This window comes from Homo sapiens, chromosome 3 (genome assembly GCF_000001405.40).
Source record: "Homo sapiens chromosome 3, GRCh38.p14 Primary Assembly".
NCBI lineage: Eukaryota > Metazoa > Chordata > Mammalia > Primates > Hominidae > Homo > Homo sapiens.
The window spans coordinates 70,260,272-70,287,198 of NC_000003.12; the positions used below are offsets into that span (position 1 = coordinate 70,260,272).

Sequence of the window (26,927 nt, forward strand, 5' to 3'; positions counted from 1 at the left end):
TTTCCCCTGTGTGTGTCTGTGTCTTCCCATCGCCACTTCTTATAAGGATGCCAGTCATATTGGATTTAGGGGCCCACTCTACTCCGGTACGACTTTATCTTAAGTTAGCTAATTACATCTGCAACAACCCTATTTCCAAATAAAGTCTCATTATGAGGTAATGGGGGTTAGTACCTCAACATATTTTTTACATCCCCTCAGTTCAACTCGTAACAGCCCCATTCCCTATCATCTTCTGATTGTGTTAAGTCAAGGGCTAGGAGTCCCTATCATGAGACCAGAGGATGGGAGGAAGGGAAGGTCTGCATATTTTATTTATTTATTAATCTTTCCTTTCAGGTTCCCTAGTGGCTGCATCACTCCATGAAAGGTTACAACTTCTGTCAGACTGCCCTCTTTATACAGCTGTTCTCTCCAGATTCAGCACCTGGGATACCTATAACTTATCCCTCCCCTTTCACTTTCAGATTTAGGGATGGTAATGAACTCACTTCTCAATTATTGCTAGCTCCAAGGTACTATTGTCCCTCTTGGTGGGTTCCCAGACATCTGCCCACCCTTTTAAAAGCAGTCCCTTTATAAACTCTCCTCCAGTTAGAGAATGTACCATCTTTTCCTGCTGAGATCAGGACCAATATACTTCTAGCTGATGGAGAAACTGAGTCCAGGGAAGATAAGTGATTTTCTCAAGTTTATAATATTTGCAGAACTTGTGGGCCCCAGGTCTCTTGAAAAATTCCGCTTGACATGAAACAGACCTTGCACAAATTATTCAAACAGTAAGAATATAAGCACTTCAACGTTTATTTAAAGTTCAATTCCATTAATTTTAGAAAAAAGGCACAAAAATCAGATGTCCATTAGCAGATAATATTGTATTTCAGTTTGGTTCCCTTATGCATTGCTTGAAATTTACTCAAAGACATTTGGTGGTCAAAGCTTTGAATCATTCACAAGAGTCAATCTTGGATTCTTAAAATCAAAGCCATGCTATCTCTTTTAAGAGAGTTAGTGCAGTGTGGCTTTCTCCTTATTGCTCTCTTGGCTTGTCCCTTCATCATAATCTAACAACTATGCTTCAAAAAAAGTTGATGTGAACATGCATATGTTTAATCTGAAACCTCAGCAGCTTCACTCTCACTGTATCAGCTGCAGCCATCTAGCACTTCAGATGCAACTTCCCTCCATGGTTGTGTTTGTACTTTCCTTGATTCATTCTCTATATCCTGATTAATAATTACATTTCAATTTCCGTGGTAATGACTCACTTCCATATCATTGCTAGTTCCAAGGTACCATGCTCACCCTTTTTGGTTTCCCTGACATCCCTGCCTGAATGGGCTTTCTTCACTTTCAACAATTTCTACCATAAGTGCAGGACCAGCCAAAACTGGCCTTATTTTGTTGAAAACAGAATGCCAAGTTATCTTGCAGATGTAGCAAAGCCAAAACTGCAAGTCATATAACCTGGGCATGTGCAGAGGAGGAAAGCCTTAACCTCAAATAGCATTTGAAACCAAGATTTCCTCCCCGTGGAACCAAGAAGACTAGGATGTGACTGGAACCTGAATGCCCGAACCCTTTTAGAAACAAGGGGTTTGTTATCCAAGAAGATCCGGGGCTGAAATCCACTGTTTCATACCTTACCATAAACGGCCAAGTTTAAAGCCCTTGAACTCTGCCCTGCCAGCACTTCTGCATACCAACCTGTCCTTCCTTACCCATAAGAGTTTGATCTAACCCCAGATAGAGGAGACGGATTTGAGCCATTCCTCATGTGTCCTTGCTGGTCAATCTCACGATAAAGCCTTTTCTTTTCTCAAAAGCTGGTGCGACAGTATTGCCTTCTATGTGTGTTGAGCAGCAAGGCCACTGCTCGGTAACAATACTTTCAATAGAATTATCAAATAAAGATGAAAGAACAAAAATCATATGATGAAAGGATGAAAATGCATGAATAATTATACCAATAACGTGAGACTGAAAACAGGCAGTGAAGCTTCAAACAAAATTTAACTCTGAGTTTCCAAGGAGCCAACGCAAAATAGAAAATGATGCATTGCTGAGCCTCACCATCTGATAACATAAGTTTTAATGAGAAAAATATAACGGACAATAACTTCAATCAGTGTTCTTTAAAAGATGCGGATGCATTCTTAATAAGACTGTAGAAATGAAATAAGACCAGTTATAGTAAATGCAGAGCTCTTCAGTGTTTATTATGGGGATGGCTTGGGGGCTCTGGAATGCCGTTTCATGTGGGCCTTATTTACTGTCATAATAAAGGAATTTTGAAGTTATTTCCAAATGAAGTTGCATGTAATATTATATTACAGAAATATTCTGCTAGGTTCAAAGCAAGCAGTCATTGACTCTCAAATTTTACACTTGTGTCACATAACAGGGTTGGCGCATGCACCATGCTTGCCTTGCTTGGGGTTATTGGAGATTCCGGGATCTGTAAGTTTATAGTTTTCATCAAATTTGGAAGATCTTTAGTTGTTATTTCTTCAAATATTTTTCCATGTTCCATCTCTCTCCTCTCCTTCAAAACTATGTTAGATGACCTGATATTGTCCCACAGGTCAATAAGGTTGGGTTTTATTTCTCCCAATATTTTTGTCTCTGTGTTTTGCTTTGGATAGTTTCTGTTGCTACATTTTCATATTCACTGCTCTTCCTATCTGTATTGTCTAACCTGCTGTTAATACTATCCAGGGAAATTTTAATTTTAGGTATTGCATTTCTCTAAAAATTTTATTTCATTTATTTCTAGGTAATTCATCTCTCTCTTTATGTTTGTCTTTCCTCTATATCTTTGAGCATATAGGACAGATTTATAATAGTTGTTTTGATACCCTGACTATAAACTCTATATTTGTCATTAATGGTTCTGTTTTTAACCAACTGATTTTTCCTTCTGGTTATGGATCATATTTTCCTGCTTCTTCTTTCTTCAGTAATTTTTACTGTATGCTGGGTATTATAAATTTTATGTTATCGAGTGCTGGTTTTTAAAAAAATATTCTTTTAAGTGTATTTGACTTTGTTCTAGTGACAATTGTGATCAATATAGTTCTTTTTAATTTTATTTTAAAACTCTTTTAGGGTAGGTCTATAGGAATAATTACTCTAGAGCTAATTTAGCTTTTCTAAGGTGTGATCCTTCTGCAGTTGTGACCCTGAATGCTCCCATACTCACAGATGTTTCTCCTCTTGGGCTGTTGGGAATTCAAGTAATTTTCAGCCCTGAAAGATCTCTGGAAAATGTTTGGTTGACAGATCTCTAGTAGTTGTTCTTTCCCAGAAAGTTTGTCATGCCTAGCCTCATAGGGTTTCACTTCACACATGTAGATGGTATTCAGCAAAAGACTCAAGGGAGCCCTACGCAAATTTATAAAATATTTATCTACCGAGCTCCCTTCTCTTGGGTTCTCTGCCCTATAAATTTCTATCCTCTCTGCCTCCCCAAATTTCAATTTGTCTTTCCTTCATCTCAGTAACACTGTCTGGCTCCATCTGGGTTCCCGTTGCTATATCACAGTCCAGAAATTACTCCTAGGCAGAAGGTCTGGGCGATGGTGGAACTCACTTTGTTTCCTTTCTCTCGGGGTTCACAGTCCTGCAATTGCTGTTGTCCAATATCTCAAATGGTTGTTGAATACATTATTTCTAGTTCTTTAGGTGTCAACAGCAGAAGGATGATTCAGGCTCTCCTACTCTGTCATGACTGGAAGCAGTTAACTTTACTATGAATTATCATTATGTTATAAATTCTGTAATCATCTTGTGTCTAGCACAATCACTTTGCATTTAATATTTTTCCAGAAAGGATTACTTTTTAAATGATTACAAAATATATATGTTTAAAATGTAGCATATGTTTTGCATTTATTCATTTTAAAATATATACAGATGGTGTAAATAAAAATGGCAATGGCAATGACTTGAACATCTCTTGACCTCTCTTGACCTTAAAAAGGCCTTCGTGTTATCTGCTGTCTCTCTAGTTAAGTATACTTTTGCAATTTGCCACAATGCAGGCCTTTATCACGTTTACATATTTAGAAATCTGCTCTTGTTTAGTCTTCTAAGAGTGGATTTATTTTTAGAGGGCAAACACAGCAACAGGGCTTATCCAATGACTGTCTAAGAACTGAATATCGGCTTGCTAATTAACAGATCACAAGGATCAATGTGCCTGAGTCCACATGACCAGCATATTCTCTCCCTGTTAGAGAATAACCATGAGAATTTATTGGTGAGCATGGACTTTGAACAAAGTGAGTTGGGTGAGTCAAACAGTTGCTGGCATCAGGCCATATACTAAGTCACTCATCTCATCAACAAATGTTTACTGAGCACTGAAAGTATGCCATTTACTTTGCTAAAGACTCACTTTGCTAAACACAGTGAACATGGCAGATGCAGTCCCATAATAACAGAATTCTTGGACAAATATTAAACAGGGAATAATAGCAGTGTGATGAATCTCATGATAGGGAAAATACAGGGAGCTATGGAAACTCTTGGGTGTGTGTGTAGGGACATCGGGGATGTATTAGTCTGTTCTCACACTGCTAATAAAGACATACCATAGACTGGGTAATTTATACAGGAAAGACGATTAATTGACTCATAGTTCCACATGGCTGGGGATGCCTCACAATCATGGTGGAAGGTGAATGAGGAGCAAAGTCACATCTTACATGGTGGCAGCAAGAGAGCATGTGCAGGGGAACTCCCCTTTATAAAACCATCAGATATCGTGAGACTTATTCACTATCACAAGAACAGCGCAGGAAAGACCTGCCCCCATGATTCAATTACCTCTCACTGGGTCCCTCCCATGACATGTGGGAATTATGGGAGCTACAATTCAAGATTGGGTGGGGACACAGCCAAACCATATCAGGGGGAGAATGTAAAGTAGGCTAGTGTTCATGTAAGTCTCTCTGGATAAATCATATTTAAGTTGAGATATAGGGGATTGAAAGGAAGTATTCAGGTGAAGAAGGGAGAAAAAACTAACCTAGTGAGATATTCTCCCAAGTGTGATATTCTTTTCACTAATGGAATGCAAGAGCAGGAAAGGCATCAATTTTGGAGCAAAGGTAAAGGAAGATGGAGATTGCAGAGAAGGCAGGAAATCTCTTGATTTTAGGATTTGATGACCACCACCCCAACCCACCCCACCCTGCTCCATGCTACCTCCATACTCCCTGCACACACACACTAACACACAAGTTCATGAGCGAACCTTCCCAGCCATCTCAGGACTTTTAGGGTGGGGTTGCATTATCAAGGTGCTTCATTAATATTTTTTCAAACTGACTGGCAAAGGTAAGCAGATAAGGGACATTTTCTCCATGTGCTTTGCACCTTACCAAATGTATTAGTCCATTCTCACACTGCTGTAAAGAACTGCCTGAGAATGGGCAATTTACAAAGAAAAAAGGTTTAATTGACTCACAGTTCAGCATGGCTGGGGAAGCCTCAGGAAACTTATAATCATGATGGGAGGCACCTCTTCACAGGGTGGCAGGAGAGAGAATGAGTGCCAGCCGGGGAAATGCCAGACACTTATAAAACCATCAGATCTCATGAGACTCACTCCCTGTCACGAGAACGGCATGGGGGAAGCCATATCCATGATCCAGTTACCTCCACCTGGTCTCCCCCTTGACACGTGTAAATTATGGAGCTTACAATTCAACATGAGATTTAGGTTGAGACACAAAGCCTAATCATATCACCAAAAAAGTTTGCTTATTCAGAAAAGAGAATGAGAAATCTCTTTGTCTTTTGAGCCAAGTTTATTGAACCAGTCTCTCACACTATTTTGGCTATTATATCTTTTTCTTCAGTTTAGTAGCCTTAAGCAGAATGTTGCTTTATTAAAAATATTTACAAACATTTATGTTTTTTTATTGAAGGAGGAACTTATTTTCAGCTTTGTATTTTTGTGAGTTGATGTGACCTATTATGACTTATATTTAATTATGTACTTCTAATGTCAAATTTTTAATTCATATAGCTCAACACTGTTTTGATTAAACTGTAATCGTTATTAAATATAAACATTTTGGGGCAACTGTAACTGCTTCACTTCTCTACTTATCATAGAGATATATATTTTTAAATTATATTATTATTTATTTATTTAGAGACAGGGTCTCATTTCTGTCACCCAGGCTGGAGAGTAGTGGCACAATCATGGCTCACTGCAGCCTGCATCTCCTAGGCTCAAGTGATCCAGAGTCCTGCCTCAGCCTCCCGAGTAGCTGGGACTACAGGCACACACCACCACACAAGGGTGAATTTTTTTATTTTTAATTTTTTTATTTTTATTTCAGTGAAGACAGGATCTCCCTATGTTGCCCATGCTGGTCTCAAACTCCTAGGCCCAAGAGATTCTTCTGCCTCCGCCTCCCAAAGTGTGGGGATTAGAGATGTGAGCCACTGCACCTGGCTTATACTTTTCTTTTAAAATATATTTCTATAGTATTTGAAACATGAATCAGCTTCAAAGCAAATTAGTAGATATCAGTCCAGAAGGTACACAGATATAGTGAACACCATTAAGGGAGAAGTTTGGAATCATTCGTCTGACACATCCACTGCCTGCCACAGAAGGCATGGCCTGGCAATGGGATTAGATTATTGGAAATTTGTTGGCTGAGGAGCCTTCACATATGAACATGCTTGGATGGAGACTGCCAACATTTTCCGGTCATAGTTTTCTTAGCTAAACTCTCATGAAATAGCTTCCTTCTGAGCAATGTCGTGCCAATGAATGAAGTTGGGTCACTCCCCAAAATTGCTAGCTGGGGAGGGGGTGGGAAGGAGAATAGGAAGTACCAAGCTTCTATTTTTATAAATTTTCTCTGATTGATTATGTAGGGATTTTATACTTAATTCCCCCTTATGTTTTAGACAGTAAAAGAAGTCTCATTTTTACGAAGGGCAGAATGCAAAACAAGAATTGATGGGTAAATCTTAATATTGTGAAGGTATTTCTACCATATTCTAAAAAATATCATCTAAGTATCAAGTTTTCCATGAGACCTACCTTTACAGGATTATAGACTCTACTCTCTTGTACAGATTCTTTTTTAATAGCTTTTTTTTTTTTTTTTTTTTTTTTTTGAGCGGGAGTCTCGCTCTGTCACCCAGGCTGGTGTGCAGTGGCGCGATCTCCGCTCACTGCAAGCTCCGCCTCCTGGGCTCACGCCCTTCTCCTGCCTCAGCTTCCCGAGTAGCTGGGACTACAGGCGCCCGCCACCATGCCCGGCTAATTTTTTGTATTTTTTTTTTTTTTTTTTTAGTAAAGACGGGGTTTCACCCTGTTAGCCAGAATGGTCTTGACCTCCTGACCTCGAGGTCCGCCTGCCTCGGCCTCCCAGAGTGCTGGGATTACAGGCGAGAGCCACCCCGCCCAGCCTAAAATAGCATTTTTTAATGGCAGCTTCACAGTAAAAGATTTCAGATAAAGGGTCTTCACTGGATGAGAGTTCAGTTGTTTTTAGGAAACAAGTTTTGTTAGGTAAAAAATGGAAATTTAATATGATTACTAATATATCCAGATAACTTGTTTACCTTTTGAAAAGTAGACTTGAAAATTTGAGCCAAGGTCCCAGTTTCCTTTCCTTTTCTTCCCATCCCCTTCCCTTCCTTTCCCCTTCTCCTTTCCTTTCGCCTCCCCTTTCGCCTCCCCTTTCACCTCCCCTTTCTCCTCCCCTCCTTCTCTTCCTCTTTCTCCTCCTCCTCCTCCTCCTCCTTCTTCTCCAATATTTAAGGACTTCATTGTTTTTAGAGTAGTTTTAGGTTCACTGCAAAATTGGGCAGAAGGTGCAGAGATATCGCATATACTCCTGCCCCCACACATGCACAGCCACCTTATTATCAACATTCTCCGGCTGGGCGCGGTAGCTCACGCCTGTCATCCCAGCACTTTGGGGGGCCAAGGCAGGCAGATTGCCTGAGCGCAGAAGTTCGCGACCAGCCTGGACAGCACGGAGAAACACCCACCGTCTGTACTAAAATACAAAAAATTAGCCAGGCGTGGTTGTGTGCACCTGTAGTCGTAGCTACTTGGGAGGCTGAAGCAGGAGAATCACTTGAACCCGGGAGGCGGAGGTGGCAGTGAGCAGAGATCGCATCACTGCACTCCAGCCTGGGCAACAGAGCGAGACTCCGTCTCAAAAAAAAAAAAAAAAAAAAAATCCCCACCAGAATGGTGCATTTGTTACAATTGATAAACCTACACTGACACATCAACACTCCAAGGCCATAGTTCACATTCGGGTTCACTCTGGTGATGTACCTTCTATGGGTTTGGACAAATGTATATTGACATGTAGCTTTCTTTGTCAAACCATTAAATTTTCAGTATTCTCTCTTCTTTTGTTTTTGCAGCTGATTTTTAAGAGCTTCTTTTTAAAATCTATTGATTTTGGCATCTGCTTTAGAGAAATACTTCAATGAAGTATCTACTTTATATCTGATTATTTGCATCATAAATATTTTTCCTTCATCTACAAAACAAACTATTCTTACTAAATATTTTGTATCAATAAATTTATAAAATCTCAGTTTATGAGGATTATTTTTTCTGGAGCACATATTATGTATGGCCTCTATTAATAACTGACAATGGAAGCAATTAAAATTTAGTGCTCTCCTTTGAACCAGGAAAAATCTTAACCTTCTTGTATATTACAAAGTTTAAATAAAAAAAGAAATAGAAAAGAATTCTATTGTGATAGGATATATTATTGTCCCTTTATCAACCTGTCAAAAGTTAAAAAATATATACATATATAAAGAGTAAAGAGTGGAATAATAATATTTACAAGGCTGACATATCAGATAAATAGGTATTTTTAAACATCTGTGGAATATATTTATTTGGAATATTCACATACAATACTCATAAAAATTAATTAATTATCAATTATAGGCTAGGTCATAAAAGAACCAATAAATTCCAAAAAGCAGTGTTAAATTAAGTTTAGCCTAAAGCTGGCTCATTATATATTTCACATTCGAGCTAAAGGTTTCTATGAATATACTGAACTGTAACCTGTCTGGATACATAGACACCCTGTAACCTACTTAGGTCTCAATCCCTGAGTTTTGGCCAATCAAAGGCAGTCAACTGTTCTAACCATGTTCAAGTAAGGCAAATGCTGAACTCTAACCAATCTGGCTGTAACTCACTCCCATTTTCTGTATATCATTTTCTTTTTTCTGTCCATAAATATTTTTTGACCACGTAGCAGGGTTGGAGTCTCTCTGAACCAATTTTGGTTCAGGGGCTGCCCAGTTCTTGACTTTTTCTTTGTTCAATTAAATTATGTTAATTTAATTTGTCTAAGGTTTTTGTTTTAACAGCAGAAAATGTACTAGCTATATTTAATATAGTGGCAAAAAACTAGGAATTAATGACAAAACTGTTTTAAAAAATGCCTAGTCTATTGAATGTTTAAATATTATTCTCCAAATTGCTAAAAGGACAAAGAAGAAATTTAAACGAAATCACATCTCATTTCGAAAACAAAGGCCATGATAACACTAAATATCCAAACTTAAGGAAGAAGTCAAATATAAACTTAGAAAAATTACTATTCTTAAGTGACAATAACTGAAATAAATATTCATCTCAAGAAATGTGAAAAAGAAAATGATCCTCAAATAAAGAGAAGGAAGGGAAAACAGATCGAAACAAACAACTGGACAAGAGTACAGTGATAAATAAATCCATGAGTTTATTTTTCCTTCAGGTAATGAAGAACAGCAAAAATACAATGTTCTAAGAAATCTAATGATGCCATCCACAGCATTATGCACATACATTTGAAATGTTTGATTATTTTGAAATTTGGAATACGTAGACAAGTAGAATAGACTAACAACTTTGAAAAAAAGTGGTGGAAGTCTCAATGACCAGTTGGTTTTACAAATGAGTTCTTTCAAGTTTCTAAGGTACAGCAAATCCTAGCACATTACAAAATATTTCAAAGCATGGGAAATAAATAAAAACAGCTTCCAAAAATAGATGTACAAAGAATATATAACCCTGATCCCTAAACTAGTATTAAATTTTTTAAAAAGAAAAGAAAAACACAGACCAAACACATATAAATACAAGATCTGTTTAAGCACTAAGTTTTGTGTTTCATTCACTTGTTGACAGTGGCTACCTCTCATTATTGTCAGTACTGGGGTACTTTAATTACTAAAACTTTCTCAAGTATGTATATACATGGCTGCTTTCTTAGTCTGAGTTCAGTGTTTGCAGAAAGTTGGCTGGAATTTCACAGCTGGCCAGGGTTTTCTCTATGTATATACAGGAGTGAGTGACTTCCTGGGATGGATCTTTAATATATTAAAATTGTATTTTTAAAATACACCATGGAATACTATGCAGCCATAAAAAGGACGAGTTCATGTCCTTTGCCAGGACACGGTTGAAGCTGGAAACCATCATTCTCAGCAAACTAACACAGGAACCAAAAACCAAAAACACAAGTTATCACTCATAAGTGGGAGTTGAGCAATTAGAACACATGGACACAGGGAGGGGAACATCACACACCAGGGCTTATCAGGGGATGGGGGTCTAGGCAAGGGATAGCATGTGGAGAAATACCTAATGTAGATGATGGATTGATGGGTGCAGCAAATCGCCATGGCACATGTATACCTATATAACAAACCTGCACATTCTGCACATGTATCCCAGAACTTCAAGTATAATAATAAAAAAGAAATATTGAAAATAAAAAAAAACAGTAAATTAAATCATAGGCCATTTATCGAAGCTGGGAAGTTGTATATACTAAATTGGTGCAAAAGTCATTGTGGTTTTTGCCATTTAAAAGTATGCCAAAAACAGTAATGACTTTTGCACCAACCTAATTATCTTGAGGATCTGTTATTTATCATTGATCTACCTTAGGGTTCGCAAACTCAAGATGACCAGGACTAGGCAGGTAAGTAAATCATGAAAAGGACCTGGTAGGAAGCAGAGTAAACTGGAGAGCATTATGCACAAATAAACTGTGTTGTGGCTACTCACCTCCATTGGTGAGCTCACTGGTGGAACTCCAATGGTTCCAGCTCACTGGAACCATTTGGGATGCAGATTCAGTATCATCAAATCTGTTTTTCAGAGAAGCCAGAAGTCTGGAATTTGTATGACAAATTTCTGAATTTTAAATGTTATTTTGCTTAACTATTTAACAAACATCACCCTGGCCTTGCAAATGTTGACAAAATTTGACTCACAGGCCACCAGTTGGCAAATTCTGGTTGGTCCATTACTTTCATCTTATAGCCAAAACAATAGACCCAGCTAAGAAACTGACTCATCTAAGAAGGTCTCTGGAGTTAGGGGCACAGCAGAGCCTTGAATCTGAGCATCTGAAAGAATGAAATTGTAGCCCTAAATCACAGTGGCCAAAATTGCTATGGCTCACACTTATTTTTTATTTATTTATTTATTTCAGATGGAGTCTTGCTCTGTCACCTAAGCTGGAGTGGAATGGCGTGATCTCGGCTCACTGCAACCTCCACCTCCCGGGTTGAAGCGATTCTCTCGCCTCAGCCTCCTGAGTAGCTAGGCTTACAGGCACCTGCCATCATGCCCAGCTAATTTTTGTATTTTTGTAGAGACAACGTTTCATCATGTTGACCTGGCTGATCTTTAACTCTGAACTTCAGGTGATCCGCCTGCCTTGGCCTCCCAAAGTGCTGGGATTACAGGTGTGAGCCACTGTGTCTGGCTATGGCTAACACTTTTTTAAGGAAATAACAACAATCCCCAAATATCACATGCCCAGAGTTGCTCAGCACATTTATTTTGTCCGAAGTATATGTAATGTACATACAATAAAATGTACCCATTCCAAATGCATAGTGGGGGTTTGACAAAAGTGCACACCATCACAATTAAAATGAAAAATATTTCTATCTCCCCAAGATGCTCCTTTACGCTCCTTTGCAATCATCACACCCTTACCAGCCAGCCCCCAGGCAATCACTTTCTGCTACTATAGATTAAATTTGCCTTTCCTAAGATTTCATACACTATGTACTCTTTTGTGTCTGGCTTCTTTCGCTCAATATAATGCTTTTGAGGTTCATCCGTGTTGTTGAGTTCATTCATTTGCAATGCTGGGGCATAATCCATTGTATGAATAAACCAAAATTTGTTTATCTGTTCTCCCCTGATGGATGTTTGGATGTTTCCTGTTTTTAGGTAATATGAATAAGGCTGCTATAAACATTCCCGTACAGGTCTTTACGTGGACATATGTTTTTATTTCTCTTGGGTAAATACCTAGGAGTAGAATTGCCCAGTCGAATGGCAGGTGTATGTTTAACTTTATAAAAAACTGCTCAGCACAATTTGAATTTTGATTTTAGATAGAGTACATTGCATTGCTGGAATGTACAAACATTATTATCCTTCCTCTAAATTCCCCTTGCTTTCTTTCCTCCATTGGAAAGCATAAATGAATATTGCTTGTTTCACGAAGTTAGAATTTTCTTTCGGCAAGACTTTGGGAAGGAAGGGAAATAAAAAAGAGATCAGAGGAAATCACTGAAACAAAATTCTAAGGAGACAGCTAGCAACTAACATTCTGCAAAAACCCTGAGGAGTCATTTACAGCCCTGTGCATTGTAATTGGCATCTTTTCGGCTTCAGTCCAGGTCAAATCACTTCCTCCCTTATCACTCCACCTCCAAATATCCTTCTCACTCTCCTGCCTACCTGTTGTCAAGGGAAGTTCAGCCAGTGACCCAAGTTTTGTCTGGGAAAGGCTGCCGTTACAAGGAAGATGAATACAATCCTAAAAGGACTGACAAATCTAAGATTCATCCCGGTGATCACTGACACTTGAAAGGTATGCATGAGGTTTCATGCAGATGTGAATGTTTGTCCCCAGAGATGGAATAGCAAGTGTGCTAAGCCCAGTGAGTTCATTAAATCTTAGTCGACTCAACAATTTCTCTGAAGACTACTCTAAGGAAAATATGTGTTTATATAGTACTTATCACCTCTTTTTTCTTCGTAAAAATGAGATGCTAAGACCTTTAATCCAAAGGGAAGTCTTAAAAGCTTCAGGATGAGATCACAGAATTGTTTCTCTCCAGGAGTATTTTGGGATCATTGCCATCACTCAGGAGATCGTCCAGAAAAATCTTCCCTAAAACAGTAAACTCCAGATAATACAGTTATATCACCTAATTGGGAAAAGGTCAAGCCTAGTGAAACACTTGAGCTATGAGGACATTAAAAAAAAGAAATGCAGGTCTTGTGTTTGGTTTATAAGAGCATTTTGACAGTATCAAAGGAGGAAAAGGCAAGGTACAGATGGACTTGGCACACATATGCTGCCATTACTCAGGCCTGTGCCACTGGCAGGCATTACTAATCAATCCCAGTTTTTAAAGAGTAGCTTTTTCAGATTTGTTTAGCAGTCAAATGTAGAAAGAGGTCCAGAATTTCCTTTATTTTTCTCTTTTGTTTTGTTTTTCCAAGGCAGAGTCTCACTTTATTGCCTAGGCTGGAGTGCAGTGGCACAATCATGGCTCACTGAAGACTTGAACTCCTAGGCTCAAGTCATTCTCCCTCCTTGGCCCCCAGAGCAGCCACAGGCACACAGCACTGCACCCGGCCCAGAATTTTCTTTTTGACACTAAAATTTATTGGCTTCTCTCAAAACTAAGATGCCATTATTAATATTATAAATAAAAGTAAGAAATTAAACCTCCGTGTGTGTGTGTGTGTGTGTGTGTGTGTGTGTGTGCGCGCGCGCATGTGTGTGTGTGAGACTGGGCTAAAGAAATACCTTTAGAAAATAATGTGAAATTATACTCTCATACATATGTGTAGGGGGTGGGGGATGTGAGTGTTTGTGTGTTTGTAGAGAAAGACAATTGATATGTTTTAATACTCTCAGTTAGTTCAACCAGGCAACTCAAATTTTAATATTTTAGAGCTTTTGATTGCAGATAAATTATCACTTATGGAAATGAAACAAGGTTGAGAATCATCATATTCAACAAAATAAACTTAATTCTCTTGAAATATAGAATGAGTATGTGATAGAAATGAGCACTGATATATAATTTTTAATGACATTGTTCATCAACTCAGTGTTACAAGATATATTTGAAAAGTATTTTTCTCCAAATAATTAATGTTAAGTTGACTGAAGAACTTAGTAAGAAACTTCCAAATTGAACAGAAAACCAAACACTGCATGCTCTCACTTATAAGTGGGAGCTGAACAATGAGGACACATGGACACATGGTGGGAAACAACACACACTGGGTCCTGTTGGGGATGGAGCGGTGGGGAGGGAGAGCTTAATACCTAGGTGATGGATTGTTAGGTGCAGCCAACCACCATGGCACACATCTACCTATGTAACAAACCTGCACATCCTGCACATGTACCTTGGAACTTAAAACAAATATAAAAATATTTTAAAAAGGAAACTTCCAAATTGAATAGGTATTAAGGAATATTATAAAAACTACTAGATATTGCTAGTGATGTAACTAAAACCCAAATGTCCTACTATTCTTTCTGTAAACTCTGGGATTTGCTCTGTTAAAGATCTTTATTAGTTTGGCAAAATGAGTTATATAAAAGTGGGAAATAAAATCTATTACTGTTTGAAACTATTTATCTGTGAGAATGAAGATTCTCAGAACCTTGTTTCTCAAAGGAAACTACAGAAACTCAAAGGAAACTACCTCTTCAGGTGATATAAGCCTGCAGCTGTTATTTATAACCTCCAAACAGAAGTTCTTGTGGTCATCATTCTCACTGACTTTATAGTTATTTAAATATTAGAATTTTAACTTATAAAAAAGTTAATAAACTATTGCCTGTTTTATATATTGTGCTTCTGAATAGCATTCATGATGATTAAGAATACAGGACTTGGGCCGGGTACAGTGGCTTACACCTGTAATCTCAGCACTTTGGCAGGCCGAGGCAGGAGGATCACTTGAGCCCAGCCCAGGCAACATAGTAAGACCTCGTCTCTACAAAAAATAAAAAGAAAAAAATTAGTTGGGTGTGGTGGCATGTGCCTGTAGTCCCAGCTACTAGGGAGGCTGAGGTGGGAGGATTGCTTGAGCCCAGGAGGTCAAGGCTGCACTGAGCAGTGATCATGCCACTGCATTCCAGAGCCTAGGTGGCAAAGCAAGACCCTGTCTCAAAAAATAAAACAAAACAAATCAAATCAAAAAAACAAAGGAATTCAGTCCTTGGGACTGCACTGCCTAGGTTTAAATCCTGGCCTTGCCACTCATTAGCTCTGTGACCTGGGCAAGTCATTTACTCAACCTCCCACGCCTCAGCTTCTTCATCTGTTCATCAGCGATAACAATACTTACCTCAAAGCGTCGTTGAAAGGATTAAATAAATTGTGAAGTACAATTAAATAAGTTATGAAGTACTTTCAGAAGTTTATAGCATATAATAAGTGCTATATGAGGACCTGGTAAATAAATTCCATTTAAAATAAGAACTTTTCTGCTAAAATATGCTAAAACCCATGTTGTACCGTGTGTTTAATTAGGCAATAATTACTTAAAATCAGATTGCTCATTGTCGATGCAAATCATGGTAACTAATCAGCTTTGATTAATATTCTTAATCAAAATAAATGGAATTACCCATGATTTTATTCCCCCACAATAAACTTTTAAAAATATTTTGATGAAGAGCATTTCAAACTTTAAAAAAAAGTATATATACTCTTTTTAACAAAATACAATTATAATTAAGATAATATGATAATATAACTTATGTGGACAGGAGTTTTGCCAGTTTTTTTCCTGCTGAATTCCAATGTCTAGAATAATGTTAGGTATATAGCAGGTGTTCAATAAATATTTGTTCAGTGAAAAATAATTTCTTGCAATACAATTTTTTACTAAGTGTATTTAAAGCTATTTTAAAAGCATAAATATTATTCTTCCAATTTTATATACTGTCATTTTAAATAACTTTATATTATTCCATCTTATGAACACACTTTCTTCACCCACTTTCTTACTTCTGGAAATGTATGTTAATTCTATTGTCTTGTGATTATAAGTAAACATTGTAACAAATACCCATAACAAATCTTTGCATATGCCTCTCATTATTTTTTTAGGATAATACTTAGAAGTGGCTGTCCAGTGAATTATACGAAATTTTAAGAATTATGATTCATTCCATGTTTATTTAGTAAATATTTATCACATATGCAATCTGTGCTTTGTGTTAGACACCTACCTGAGGATACCATGGTGTATTTACCTTTGTTTACCTTCTAATAATCTAAGGTAGAGGTCGATAAACTGTGACCCATGGTCTACATATGGCCTACTGCATTTTTTTGTAAGTCAAGTTTTGTTGGAACACAGCCATGCTCATTAATTTATGTATTATCTGTGTTTTCACACTATAATGGCAGAATTGAATAGTTGTGACAAAGACTACATGGCCCACTAAGCCAGAAATATTTACTATCTGCCCCAACACAGAAAAAAATTGACAAATCCTTCAAATTAGATTGTAGTTTTGTCAAATTACACTCCAGAAAGTTTATGTTCTCAACTGTAATCAGTGAGAAATCCTCACATTAATAAAGTGAACATGTCTTGGTTTTTCACTGGATTTTTTTTTTTATTCTTTCTTAAGGAACTCTTCACACACACATAATTTTTAGCATGGCATTCATGGATAATTACCAAATTTGAAATGAGTGAAATCAGAATTATTGAGATTTATTTTCAATGAGGCGTGAGAAACATTGGCTAAGTCTGTGTGATTAGGTGAGACCTCGGCAGTTTTATCAAACTTTCCTGATAGGCTCCTAAGGATTGAGAAGGCTGGAACAATGAACATAGCCCGTATCTCCAGCTGCCTGGAAATACAATACGAAAAAGGCTGGAATTGTTGAAAGTGTTAGTATATCATTTTACATATGAAATTCATTTTGTTTATTCTGAAACTAACCAACAATACCTTAAAAACTTATGTAAACGGAAATATCTGTTATTTGACTTTTTTCCCCCAGCACTGGCCTCACACAGGCACTCTAATGATTATTTGTCAAAGTCACACTGTTTGCTTACAAGGTATGAAGGCTTTTTAGACACTATAATGACGGCTCTTGATTCACTTGATAATATTTAGAATAAGCCATAAAAGCTGATCTCTGAACGAACAGACCGCTTTTATTGGCTTTTAGTGCTATTACTGCTGTCATAAGTGGAAAATTGGCCTAATGCAAGCAATAATGCTGTGTCATACTTCAAAACTGCTACTTGGTTTTATGGTTTATTTCTTCTAATGAAAGTATGGTCGAGTATGGGGAGGATCTCACCACCTCCCGAGCTTCAGGGCATGATGCCACCTCAGTCTAAGATTCACTTAAGAAACAGGGAGGGGTGTGCTTGAGGATGGGTGGGAACTTGCTTAATGTCACAGGTGTGTGCCCATTTTTTATACAAATGGTTGTTGAGATCTATGTGCCAGGTACAGGAGACGAAAGGGCAAGACAGATCTGATTAAGGTGGAACTCAGTCTTAATCAGAGGAAGATGATTGAGACCCTACTGGCCAGATTTCATTAGCCCTCTCAATGTTTTAAATTTTTGTTGAGCTACAACTTACATAAAATAAAGCGCGCAAATCTTAAGTATATACATTGATCCGTTTTTACAAACGTGTACACCTATCTAACCACCACCCCATCAAGATAAAAAACACTTCAGCAACATAGACAGCTCTCATCATTTCCCCCGCCTCCCAGTCAGCAGCACCTTTGCCCCCAACTTCTTCTATTACAATTATTTTGCCTGTTCTTATATAAATGGGCTCATAGTGTATATTCTTTTATTTATATCTAACTTTATTTGTCCAACGTTTTGTCTGAAAGATTCATTTACATTCTTGTGTGTACCGGTAGTTCAAAAATTGCTTTGTAGTACTCCATGACAGGACTACATATGTGTATGTACCCAACCTATTCTTGAGGAACATTTAGGCTGTTCCCAGTAGTTGGATATTATGACTGAAGCTGATATGAACATTTTTTGGTTGACATAAACACTGGGGAGGAAGCCCAGAAGTAGAAATAATTGTAGAATGGGAAGACTTTTAGCTTTAGGTGGATACTGCCTAGCAGTTTTCCAGAATGGTCCCAATTTATACATCCGTCAAGACTGTATGAGAGTTCAGTCACTCTGTGCTGTTGTCAGCATTTAGTGTTTTCAGGTGCAATATTGTTTTAATAGATTTGAATGCCTTTATTGACTACTTGCACAGAAAATATACTTGGCTCTAGAATATGTCTTTTATGTACAACTGAGCCTGTATGATGGATATGCTAGGGCATATCCAACCTGGTTGGAACCCAGGTTTTGAAATCAGAGACATCTAAGTTGGTGCTCTATTTCTACCAAGTAATAACTAGGAGGCCTTAACAAAGTCACTTATGTTTCCTATGCCTCAGATTCTTCTTCTATAAAGGATAGCAAGCCACCTCAAATCAAAGGGTTGTTGTAAAAACAAATGAAATAACAATTGTAACGTAGAGAGCTAGTGTTTGACATGTATCTGGAGCTCAATGAATAGTTTCTTTCTCCTCTTCATAGTGGTCTGGGTGGTCAAGGAAAACAGTGAAGTGGCTCTGAGAAAATCCGTCTATATGTAGATGCCTATCAGTATCTAATTTTCTCCCTTGTCAAGCTTTCTCCCTTTCCTAACATCTTCTCATTTGCCCAAGCCTGACTTCCAAATGACATACTAGATAGATTATTTCCTCTGTTTCACTCACTACATGCAATCATGACAACAATAAGTGCCATTCCATATTTTTATTTAGCAAGTGCACTGTGATAAATGCTTTGCATGTAGTGTTTCACAAGAACCCTGCAAAGTACATATTATTATTTTCATTTTACAGATGGGAAGAAACCAAGACTCTGAGAGATCAAACAAATCATCCTTGAACACATATGGAGTGGGTGATACAGCTAAGATTTGAAACCAAATCCATTCGATTCCAATGGTCATTTGATTAACTACAATTCTGTATATCACACTCGTCAGAAAGACCTCTGGACTTTATCTCCTTCACATCTCTGAGTACATTGTCATTTTCTCTTCATCCCCTGTACCACACACAAATCTTGTGCACTTTCTCAGTTCTCCTCCACTACTTTCTTCTTGCCAAATGTGTCACCCCATCATCACCTTTCCTGGCACTCTTGATGAGCTCCCAGTCCAGACGGAATCTGGGTTGAAGGCTCAGATTTGCGTTGCTCTCTTGCGCTACATGCTGAGTCCTATTTGCATTAAGCAGCTCCTCCATTTCTGCATTTACAGATGCAAACACACACCCTGGGGTGTGGAATCAGGCTTCCTGAGTAGTTGCCAAGGAGCTGGATGGCATAAATGCCATCCCTCTTTTCCTTCCATGGGCTGTTCTGGGGCATGGCTTCTCCTTGCATATCTTTTGGAGAAGTCTCCTGGGCTGCACAACTACACCTGCCAAACCACCTGCTGTGTCATATCCTGGTTCTTTGTCAAATGGTGGCCAGAAGAGAAAGACATCATATTGCTTGAGATCCTGTCTTTGCTCCATTACTGTAGTTGTTTTTTAGGGTTGCTGTAACAAAGTACAACCTTGGTGGTTTAAAACTCTCCCAGTTCTTGAGGCCAGAAGTGTGAAGTCAGTTTCACTGGAGCAAAATCAAGGTGTCAGCAAGGCTGCACTCCCTCTGGAGCCTCTGGCAGATAATCTATTTTTTGCCTCTTCCAGCTTCTGGGGGCTGCCTGCATTTCCTGACCTGTGACTGCTGCACTCCAATCTCTGTCCCCATGGTTGTATCATCATCTCCTCTTCTGTGTGTGTCAAATCTCCCTCCTCCTCTCCCTTAAAAAGATGTTTGTGATTAAATTTAGGTGCCACTCATGTGATCCATGTAATCTCTCCACGTCAGGATCCTTAACTCAGTCACATCTACGAAGACCCTTTTTCCTTAAGAGGTAATATGTACAGGTTCCAGGAATCAGGACCTGACATTCTGGGTGGCCATTATTCAACCTACTACATTTACCTTGTTTCTTACCCTTACCACCCTAGGCATGTAACTCTCAAATAAGGCATCAATACTTTCACCCTTGCCTCAAGCCCTGCTTTCTAGGGGAGCTGAGCTGAAGCATTATCTCTACTTTTGCCTGTATTGAATGTTGGGACTCAGAAAACGATATCCTAAAATGAAGGTCTCAGAAGCAGCCTCAGAAGCAAAGGTTCTTCTCTGTCCTCCTTTCTCTCAGTCTCATTCTCCTCTGAGGCTGGCCATAGAAACTAGAATACCTCTTCCCCAAGGCAGGTCTCCAAAGCCAGCCATAAAACCTAAAAACATTACTCTTAGTTTCCCCCGCCTTTCTGTGTAAAACCCGGCCATAGAGACATGATCTGACCTAACTTGTTTGACTGTAGGTCATGAAACACCCATCCCAGAGACGGTACTGCCCCACACCCAGAAGGAAGGGACGCTGCACAGAAAGTCCAAGAAGAATCTAAACAGATAGGACTTGCTGGGTTTCCCTACTCAGTCTACTAGCATTAGATCATATCATACCCTTTTTGTGTGATCGTATTTCTACACAGCTGTACATAGTTTGTTAAACTTACGTATAAAAAAATGACAATTTCCTTTGTATCTTTGGGTCTTCATGCTGAAGGATCTCATGTACATGTTAATAAATTTTGTATGCCTTTTCTCCTGTTAATCAGCCTTTTGTGAACTGATTTTTCAAGGATGTTTCAGAGGGTAAAGAGGAAATTTTCTCTTGGCCCCTACAATTTTAGTGTAGTTGTCAGGATGCCAGAAGGATCATATTAAAGTTCACATCTGATCATGTTCCTCTTCTGCATAAATTTCTTCAAGGTAACCTCCCCAGATTCGTGTCAATGCCCTAAATTCTTGGTTACAGGAAGGCATTCAGGAACCTCCTGATCTTATCCATTCTCTCTCAACTTCATTATTTGACTCTCCTCTGTCTAATGGGTACGATCATAAGCTTCAGAATTAAACCCCGTTTTCTAGAATTCTGTCTTTACCATTTTCTAGGCAAGTAATCGTGAACAGGCCACTTAGTTTCTTGGGTTCTCTGACATGCATTTTCCTTAAAGTCTCTTTAATAGTAGTGGAGGTGATAAAATGAGATCATATAAGTGTCTAGCACAGGGTAAAAGCTCAAAACAAACAAACAAATTGCTCTAGTTATGTCAAATCATACACAGGAATCTAAACGTCTGATATTTTATGTCTCTCGGTATTTATGCACGATGGTTCTTCTCCCTGAGGAATCCTCACCATCATTGCTTTTTGCCCCACCTCAAGTGAACTCCTTCTCGTCTTTGGAATTCCGATAGAGAATCCCATCCTCTGCAAAGCTTTCTCTGATTCCAGCAGTTCAAAATTCTTGCACATATGAATCATAAGTGCACCTTGTTTACAATGCAAATTCTTTAGCTTCAGCCACAGAAATTCTAGTTCATCATACCTTGGGTGAGGCCCATGAAATCTTCAGTTTTAAAAAGCATCTTGGGTAATTTTTGATTGTACAGTAACACCCTGTGTACTGCACAAGGCCAGTCCTGGCTTAGGATGGAAGTCCACCTGGACAGACACATTACCAGAACACCAGGGGTGCAGTCTAGGTCCCTTTGCTTGTTGCATATAAAGCCAATCACTGAGACAAGTACAGCCAGGGAAGAAGGCTTTTTTATTCAGGTGTTTCAGCTGGGGAAATGGGTCAGGGAACCAAAATCTGTTACTCAACAGATTGCTCCCATCTCCTGGGATGCAGTAATCAAAAAACCCTTCTTTCCTGGCAGTATTTGCTGTCTCAGGGATTGGCTTTCTGTGCAGTGAGCAATGGGACCTAGAAGGAACACCTGGTGTTTCAGTAACAGACACACCACTTAAGAAGATGTATCCACCACATGGAATCTGATGTGCTCCCCTATCAAATTCCCAAATGCTAATGTGTCTTAAACCTACCACTTAAACTTTGTAAATCCGATCATGTTAGTTACAGAAGCTAATGATTTTCCCTATCTCTCAAATGGAAATTTAAAGTCATATCATGGCCTGCAAGGCCTGCTATGATTGGGCCCTGAGCCTCTGGTTTTAGCTCTTATCACTCAGCCTGGTTCATTCTATTTTGTTGGCTTTGAACATTCCAAGCAGTCTCCTGAATCAGGAACTTTGCACTTGCTATTTTCTATGCTGGAAATCCTTTCTTTCTAGATCTAAACATGGTTCTTGCCCTCATTTCATTCTGCTTCTGCCAGGATGCTGCCAAATAAGAGAGGCCTTCCTCGACTACCTTGTCTATGCCCTTCTTGCTTATTTGTCACCAGACTTACCACAGACTTGTTACTTTACTTATTGCCTCCTATTCCTGACTAAAATACAAATATCTATGACTGTTTGGTTTATTCCTTATGAAGGATGACCATAGCAGTGCCTGGAAAAGAGAGGTGTAAATATTTGTAGAATTCATGAATCTGCCAACATTCTCTCCCCAGGATGAAATAGTAAAAGGGGTAATAAAAGATGACTCTTATAACCATTGAGTGTCCAGGCAGGCCTGTCACTCAGAATAAGAAAAAAATGGAGCAGGAGACTGAAAAAACAGTTGATTACATCTCAATCACAAGACGTTGAGGCTAGTGACTCAGGAACCTCAGTATGATTCTCTCCACCAATAGGTCTTGGGTATATTAATAATAAAGTCAAGAAAATGCATTTATCTTGACATCAACAGTAGCACTAGGTGGTTGTGAGCATAAGCAGTCCTGTGGCAGGAGATGCCAGTGAATCCCAGCTTCATCAGGAATGAAGACACTGAAATAGATTTGCGGGAACCTTGTAAACTCATGCAGTCCTCTGATTGATTGCTTTTTGGTTGGTCTGTGTTTTCAATGCACTGTGCCTGGCAGATAGTAAATGCTCAATAGTGGCTGAATGAATAGGGCCTGGACTTTGGAGAACCTGAAACTGGATGGTTATTGTTCAGGCTGACGAATACTGAAATTCTCCCTGGATACTGTAGAATTGTTCAAAGAGCAAGGGCCTTGAAGAGAGGATTTGAATCCCACATACAGCATCAAATTACTTTGAGGTCAGTCTCAGAACTAGACAGAACTGGGTTGAAATCACAAATGTCAGCCTCCCCTAGCCTCTGTTACCTCATCTATACAATGAGCTTGGTTGTGTCCACCACCTACCTGGTTCTTGGGCAGATTAAAGGGATTCATGCTGGGGTCAGGCTTTTGGAGCTATTTTCACAATAACATTTGGGTTTGGATGACTGCATTTCAAAGGGTTTCAAGTTAGAATCTTGATTTCATACAGAGTAACAGAGAATAAAGAGTATGTAATGCTTATTTTTTGTAAAAAAAAAAAGAGAGAGAAGAAAAAGAAAAAGGCAAATATGGCCAAATGTTAACATCTGTTAAATCTGGATGGTGAGTACATAATGTATTTTTAAGAGAATGTGTAAAATGTCAATAATCAAGTATTTAATACATGTGCTATTAATAATCTTAAGATTATTAACTCTGCTTTACTTCTGATCCCTGATCTCTAGTTTTCCCACCACCCTACTGTCATACAGAAGGGGTTTCCATGCCTTTGGGTGGCAGAGGTATTGGCTATTGGTTTTTTAAAATCCTGGAATGAACTTGGTTTTAAACCTCAGTTGGACTGGTTTTCATGAGTGCAACTCTTAAAACTGTTACAACGTTCTAGTTAAAATTTCATGAAAGCAAGAGTCACAGTGTATTTCATTTATAGGTTTTATCTAATTAGAGAGACTTAATGAATATTAACTACCAAGAAATGTGTTAATAGTAATTAGGACAAGGCCAAGATAAGTGTACTTGCTAATCCCTACGATTTATTTCTGTAAACTGCTCTACAATTTTATAGAGTGAAGTTAGCCTTGTTCCAAGTTGTAAACTAATAAAGTTTGCATTTGAGTTTTCATATGTTTCCAGCAAGACTCTATTAAACTTTCTAAAAACAAAAGCAAAAACAAAAAGAGAACCTCTCACTTTGAAGAATGACAAGAGATTGGAACCCATTTACTCACACAGCAAAGACATGGCATCAACCTAAATGCCCATCAATGATAGACTGGATCAAGAAAATGTGGTACATATACACCACGGAATACTATGCAGCCATAAAAAAGAATAAGATCATGTCCTTTGCAAGGACTGAATGGAGCCAGAGGACATCTTCCTTAGAAATTAACACAGGAACAGAAAACTAAACACTGCATGTTCTCACTTATAAGTGGGAGCTAAACAATGAGAACACATGGCCACAGGGAGGGAAACAACACACACTGGGGCCTATTGGAGGGTGAAGGGTAGGAGGAGACAGAGGATCAGGGAAAATAACTAATGGGTACTAGTCTTAAAACCTGGGTCATGAAATAGTCTGTATAACAAACCCCCATGACACAAGTTTACCTATGTAACAAACCTGCACATGTACCCCTGAACTGAAAATAAAAGTTAAACAAAAAAGAGTAAATGGCATTGGTGTAACTGATTCATGTGCTTTTGAAGTTTCATTAACAATGTTACATGGGTTAAACTTAAATCACTGCAGTTCCAAATTACCTATTTTTTTATTTTTTATTTTTTACTTATTTTTTTTTAACTTTTTTTTTCTTTTATTATTATACTTTAAGTTTTAGGGTACATGTGCACATTGTGCAGGTTAGTTACATATGTATACATGTGCCATGCTGGTGCACTGCACCCACTAACTTGTCATCTAGCATTAGGTATACCTCCCAATGCTATCCCTCCCCCCTCCCCCCACCCCACAACAGTCCCCAGAGTGTGATGTTCCCCTTCCTGTGTCCATGTGTTCTCATTGTTCAATTCCCACCTATGAGTGAGAATATGTGGTGTTTGGTTTTTTGTTCTTGCGATAGTTTACTGAGAATGATGACTTCCAATTTCATCCATGTCCCTACAAAGGACATGAACTCATCAGTTTTTATGGCTGCATAGTATTCTATGGTGTATATATGCCACATTTTCTTAATCCAGTCTATCATTGTTGGACATTTGGGTTGGTTCCAAGTCTTTGCTATTGTGAATAATGCCGCAATAAAAATACGTGTGCATGTGTCTTTATAGCAGCATGATTTATAGTCCTTTGGGTATATACCCAGTAATGGGATGGCTGTGTCAAATGGTATTTCTAGTTCTAGATCCCTGAGGAATCGCCACACTGACTTCCACAATGGTTGAACTAGTTTACAGTCCCACCAACAGTGTAAAAGTGTTCCTATTTCTCCACATCCTCTCCAGCACCTGTTGTTTCCTGACTTTTTAATGATTGCCATTCTAACTGGTGTGAGATGGTATCTCATTGTGGTTTTGATTTGCATTTCTCTGATGTCCAGTGATGAGGAGCATTTAATCATGTGTTTTTTGGCTGCATAAATGTCTTCTTTTGAGAAGTGTCTGTTCATGTCCTTCGCCCACTTTTTGATGGGGTTGTTTGTTTTTTTCTTGTAAATTTGTTTGAGTTCATTGTAGATTCTGGATATTAGCCCTTTGTCAGATGAGTAGGTTGTGAAAATTTTCTCCCATTTTGTAGGTTGCCTGTTCACTCTGATGGTAGTTTCTTTTGCTGTGCAGAAGCTCTTTAGTTTAATGAGATCCCATTTGTCAATTTTGTGTTTTGCTGCCATTGCTTTTGGTGTTTTGGACATGAAGTCCTTGCCCATGCCTATGTCCTGAATGGTAATGCCTAGGTTTTCTTCTAGGCTTTTTATGGTTTTAGGTCTAAAGTTTAAGTCTTACATCCATCTTGAATTAATTTTTGTATAAGGTGTAAGGAAGGGATCCAGTTTCAGCTTTCTACATATGGCTAGCCAGTTTTCCCAGCACCGTTTATTAAATAGGGAATCCTTTCCCCATTTCTTGTTTTTGTCAGGTTTGTCAAAGATCAGATAGTTGTAGATATGTGGCATTATTTCTGAGGGCTCTGTTCTGTTCCATTGATCTATATCTCTGTTTTGGTACCAGTACCATGCTGTTTTGGTTACTGTAGCCTTGTAGTATAGTTTGAAGTCAGGTAGTGTGATGCCTCCAGCTTTGTTCCTTTGGCTTAGGATTGACTTGGTGATGCGGGCTCTTTTTTGGTTCTATATGAACTTTAAAGTAGTTTTTTCCAATTCTGTGAAGAAAGTCATTGGTAGCTTGATGGGGATGGCATTGAATCTGTAAATTACCTTGGGCAGTGTGGCCATTTTCATGATATTGATTCTTCCTACCCATGAGCATGGAATGTTCTTCCATTTCTTTTTATCCTCTTTTATTTCCTTGAGCAGTGGTTTGTAGTTCTCCTTGAAGAGGTCCTTCACATCCCTTATAAGTTGGATTCCTAGGTATTTTATTCTCTTTGAAGCAATTGCGAATGAGAGTTCTCATGATTTGGCTCTCTGTTTGTCTGTTGTTGGTGTATAAGAATGCTTGTGATTTTTGTACATTGATTTTGTATCCTGAGACTTTGCTGAAGTTGCTTATCAGCTTAAGGAGATTTTGGGCTGAGACAATGGCGTTTTCTAGATATAAAATCATGTCGTCTGCAAACAGGGACAATTTGACTTCCTCTTTTCCTAATTGAATACCCTTTATTTCCTTCTCCTGCCTAATTGCCCTGGCCAGAACTTCCAACACTATGTTGAATAGGAGTGGTGAGAGAGGGCATCCCTGTCTTGTGCCAGTTTTCAAAGGGAATGCTTCCAGTTTTTGCCCATTCAGTATGATATTGGCTGTGGGTTTGTC

At 38.5% G+C, this 26,927-nt stretch overlaps 1 protein-coding gene and 1 long non-coding RNA gene across 5 annotated transcripts in view, besides 1 other annotated feature; one reads left to right on the forward strand and one right to left on the reverse strand.

The window, feature by feature from the left end:
* The window catches only part of SAMMSON (survival associated mitochondrial melanoma specific oncogenic non-coding RNA), a 435,002-nt gene that overhangs the window by 260,684 nt on the left and 147,391 nt on the right, over nt 1–26,927 (forward strand). The window lies entirely within an intron of this gene.
* MDFIC2 (MyoD family inhibitor domain containing 2) overlaps nt 1–26,927 on the reverse strand; it is a 118,160-nt gene that overhangs the window by 65,793 nt on the left and 25,440 nt on the right. The gene's annotated exons all lie outside the window — the stretch shown is intronic.
* Nucleotides 4,187–4,481: an enhancer, noted in NCBI's record as "tiled region #3399; HepG2 Activating DNase matched - State 9:DNaseU". NCBI's record gives its function as "activates a minimal TATA promoter and a strong SV40 promoter by Sharpr-MPRA in HepG2 cells {active_cell/tissue: HepG2}" and the evidence as "EXISTENCE:reporter gene assay evidence [ECO:0000049][PMID:27701403]".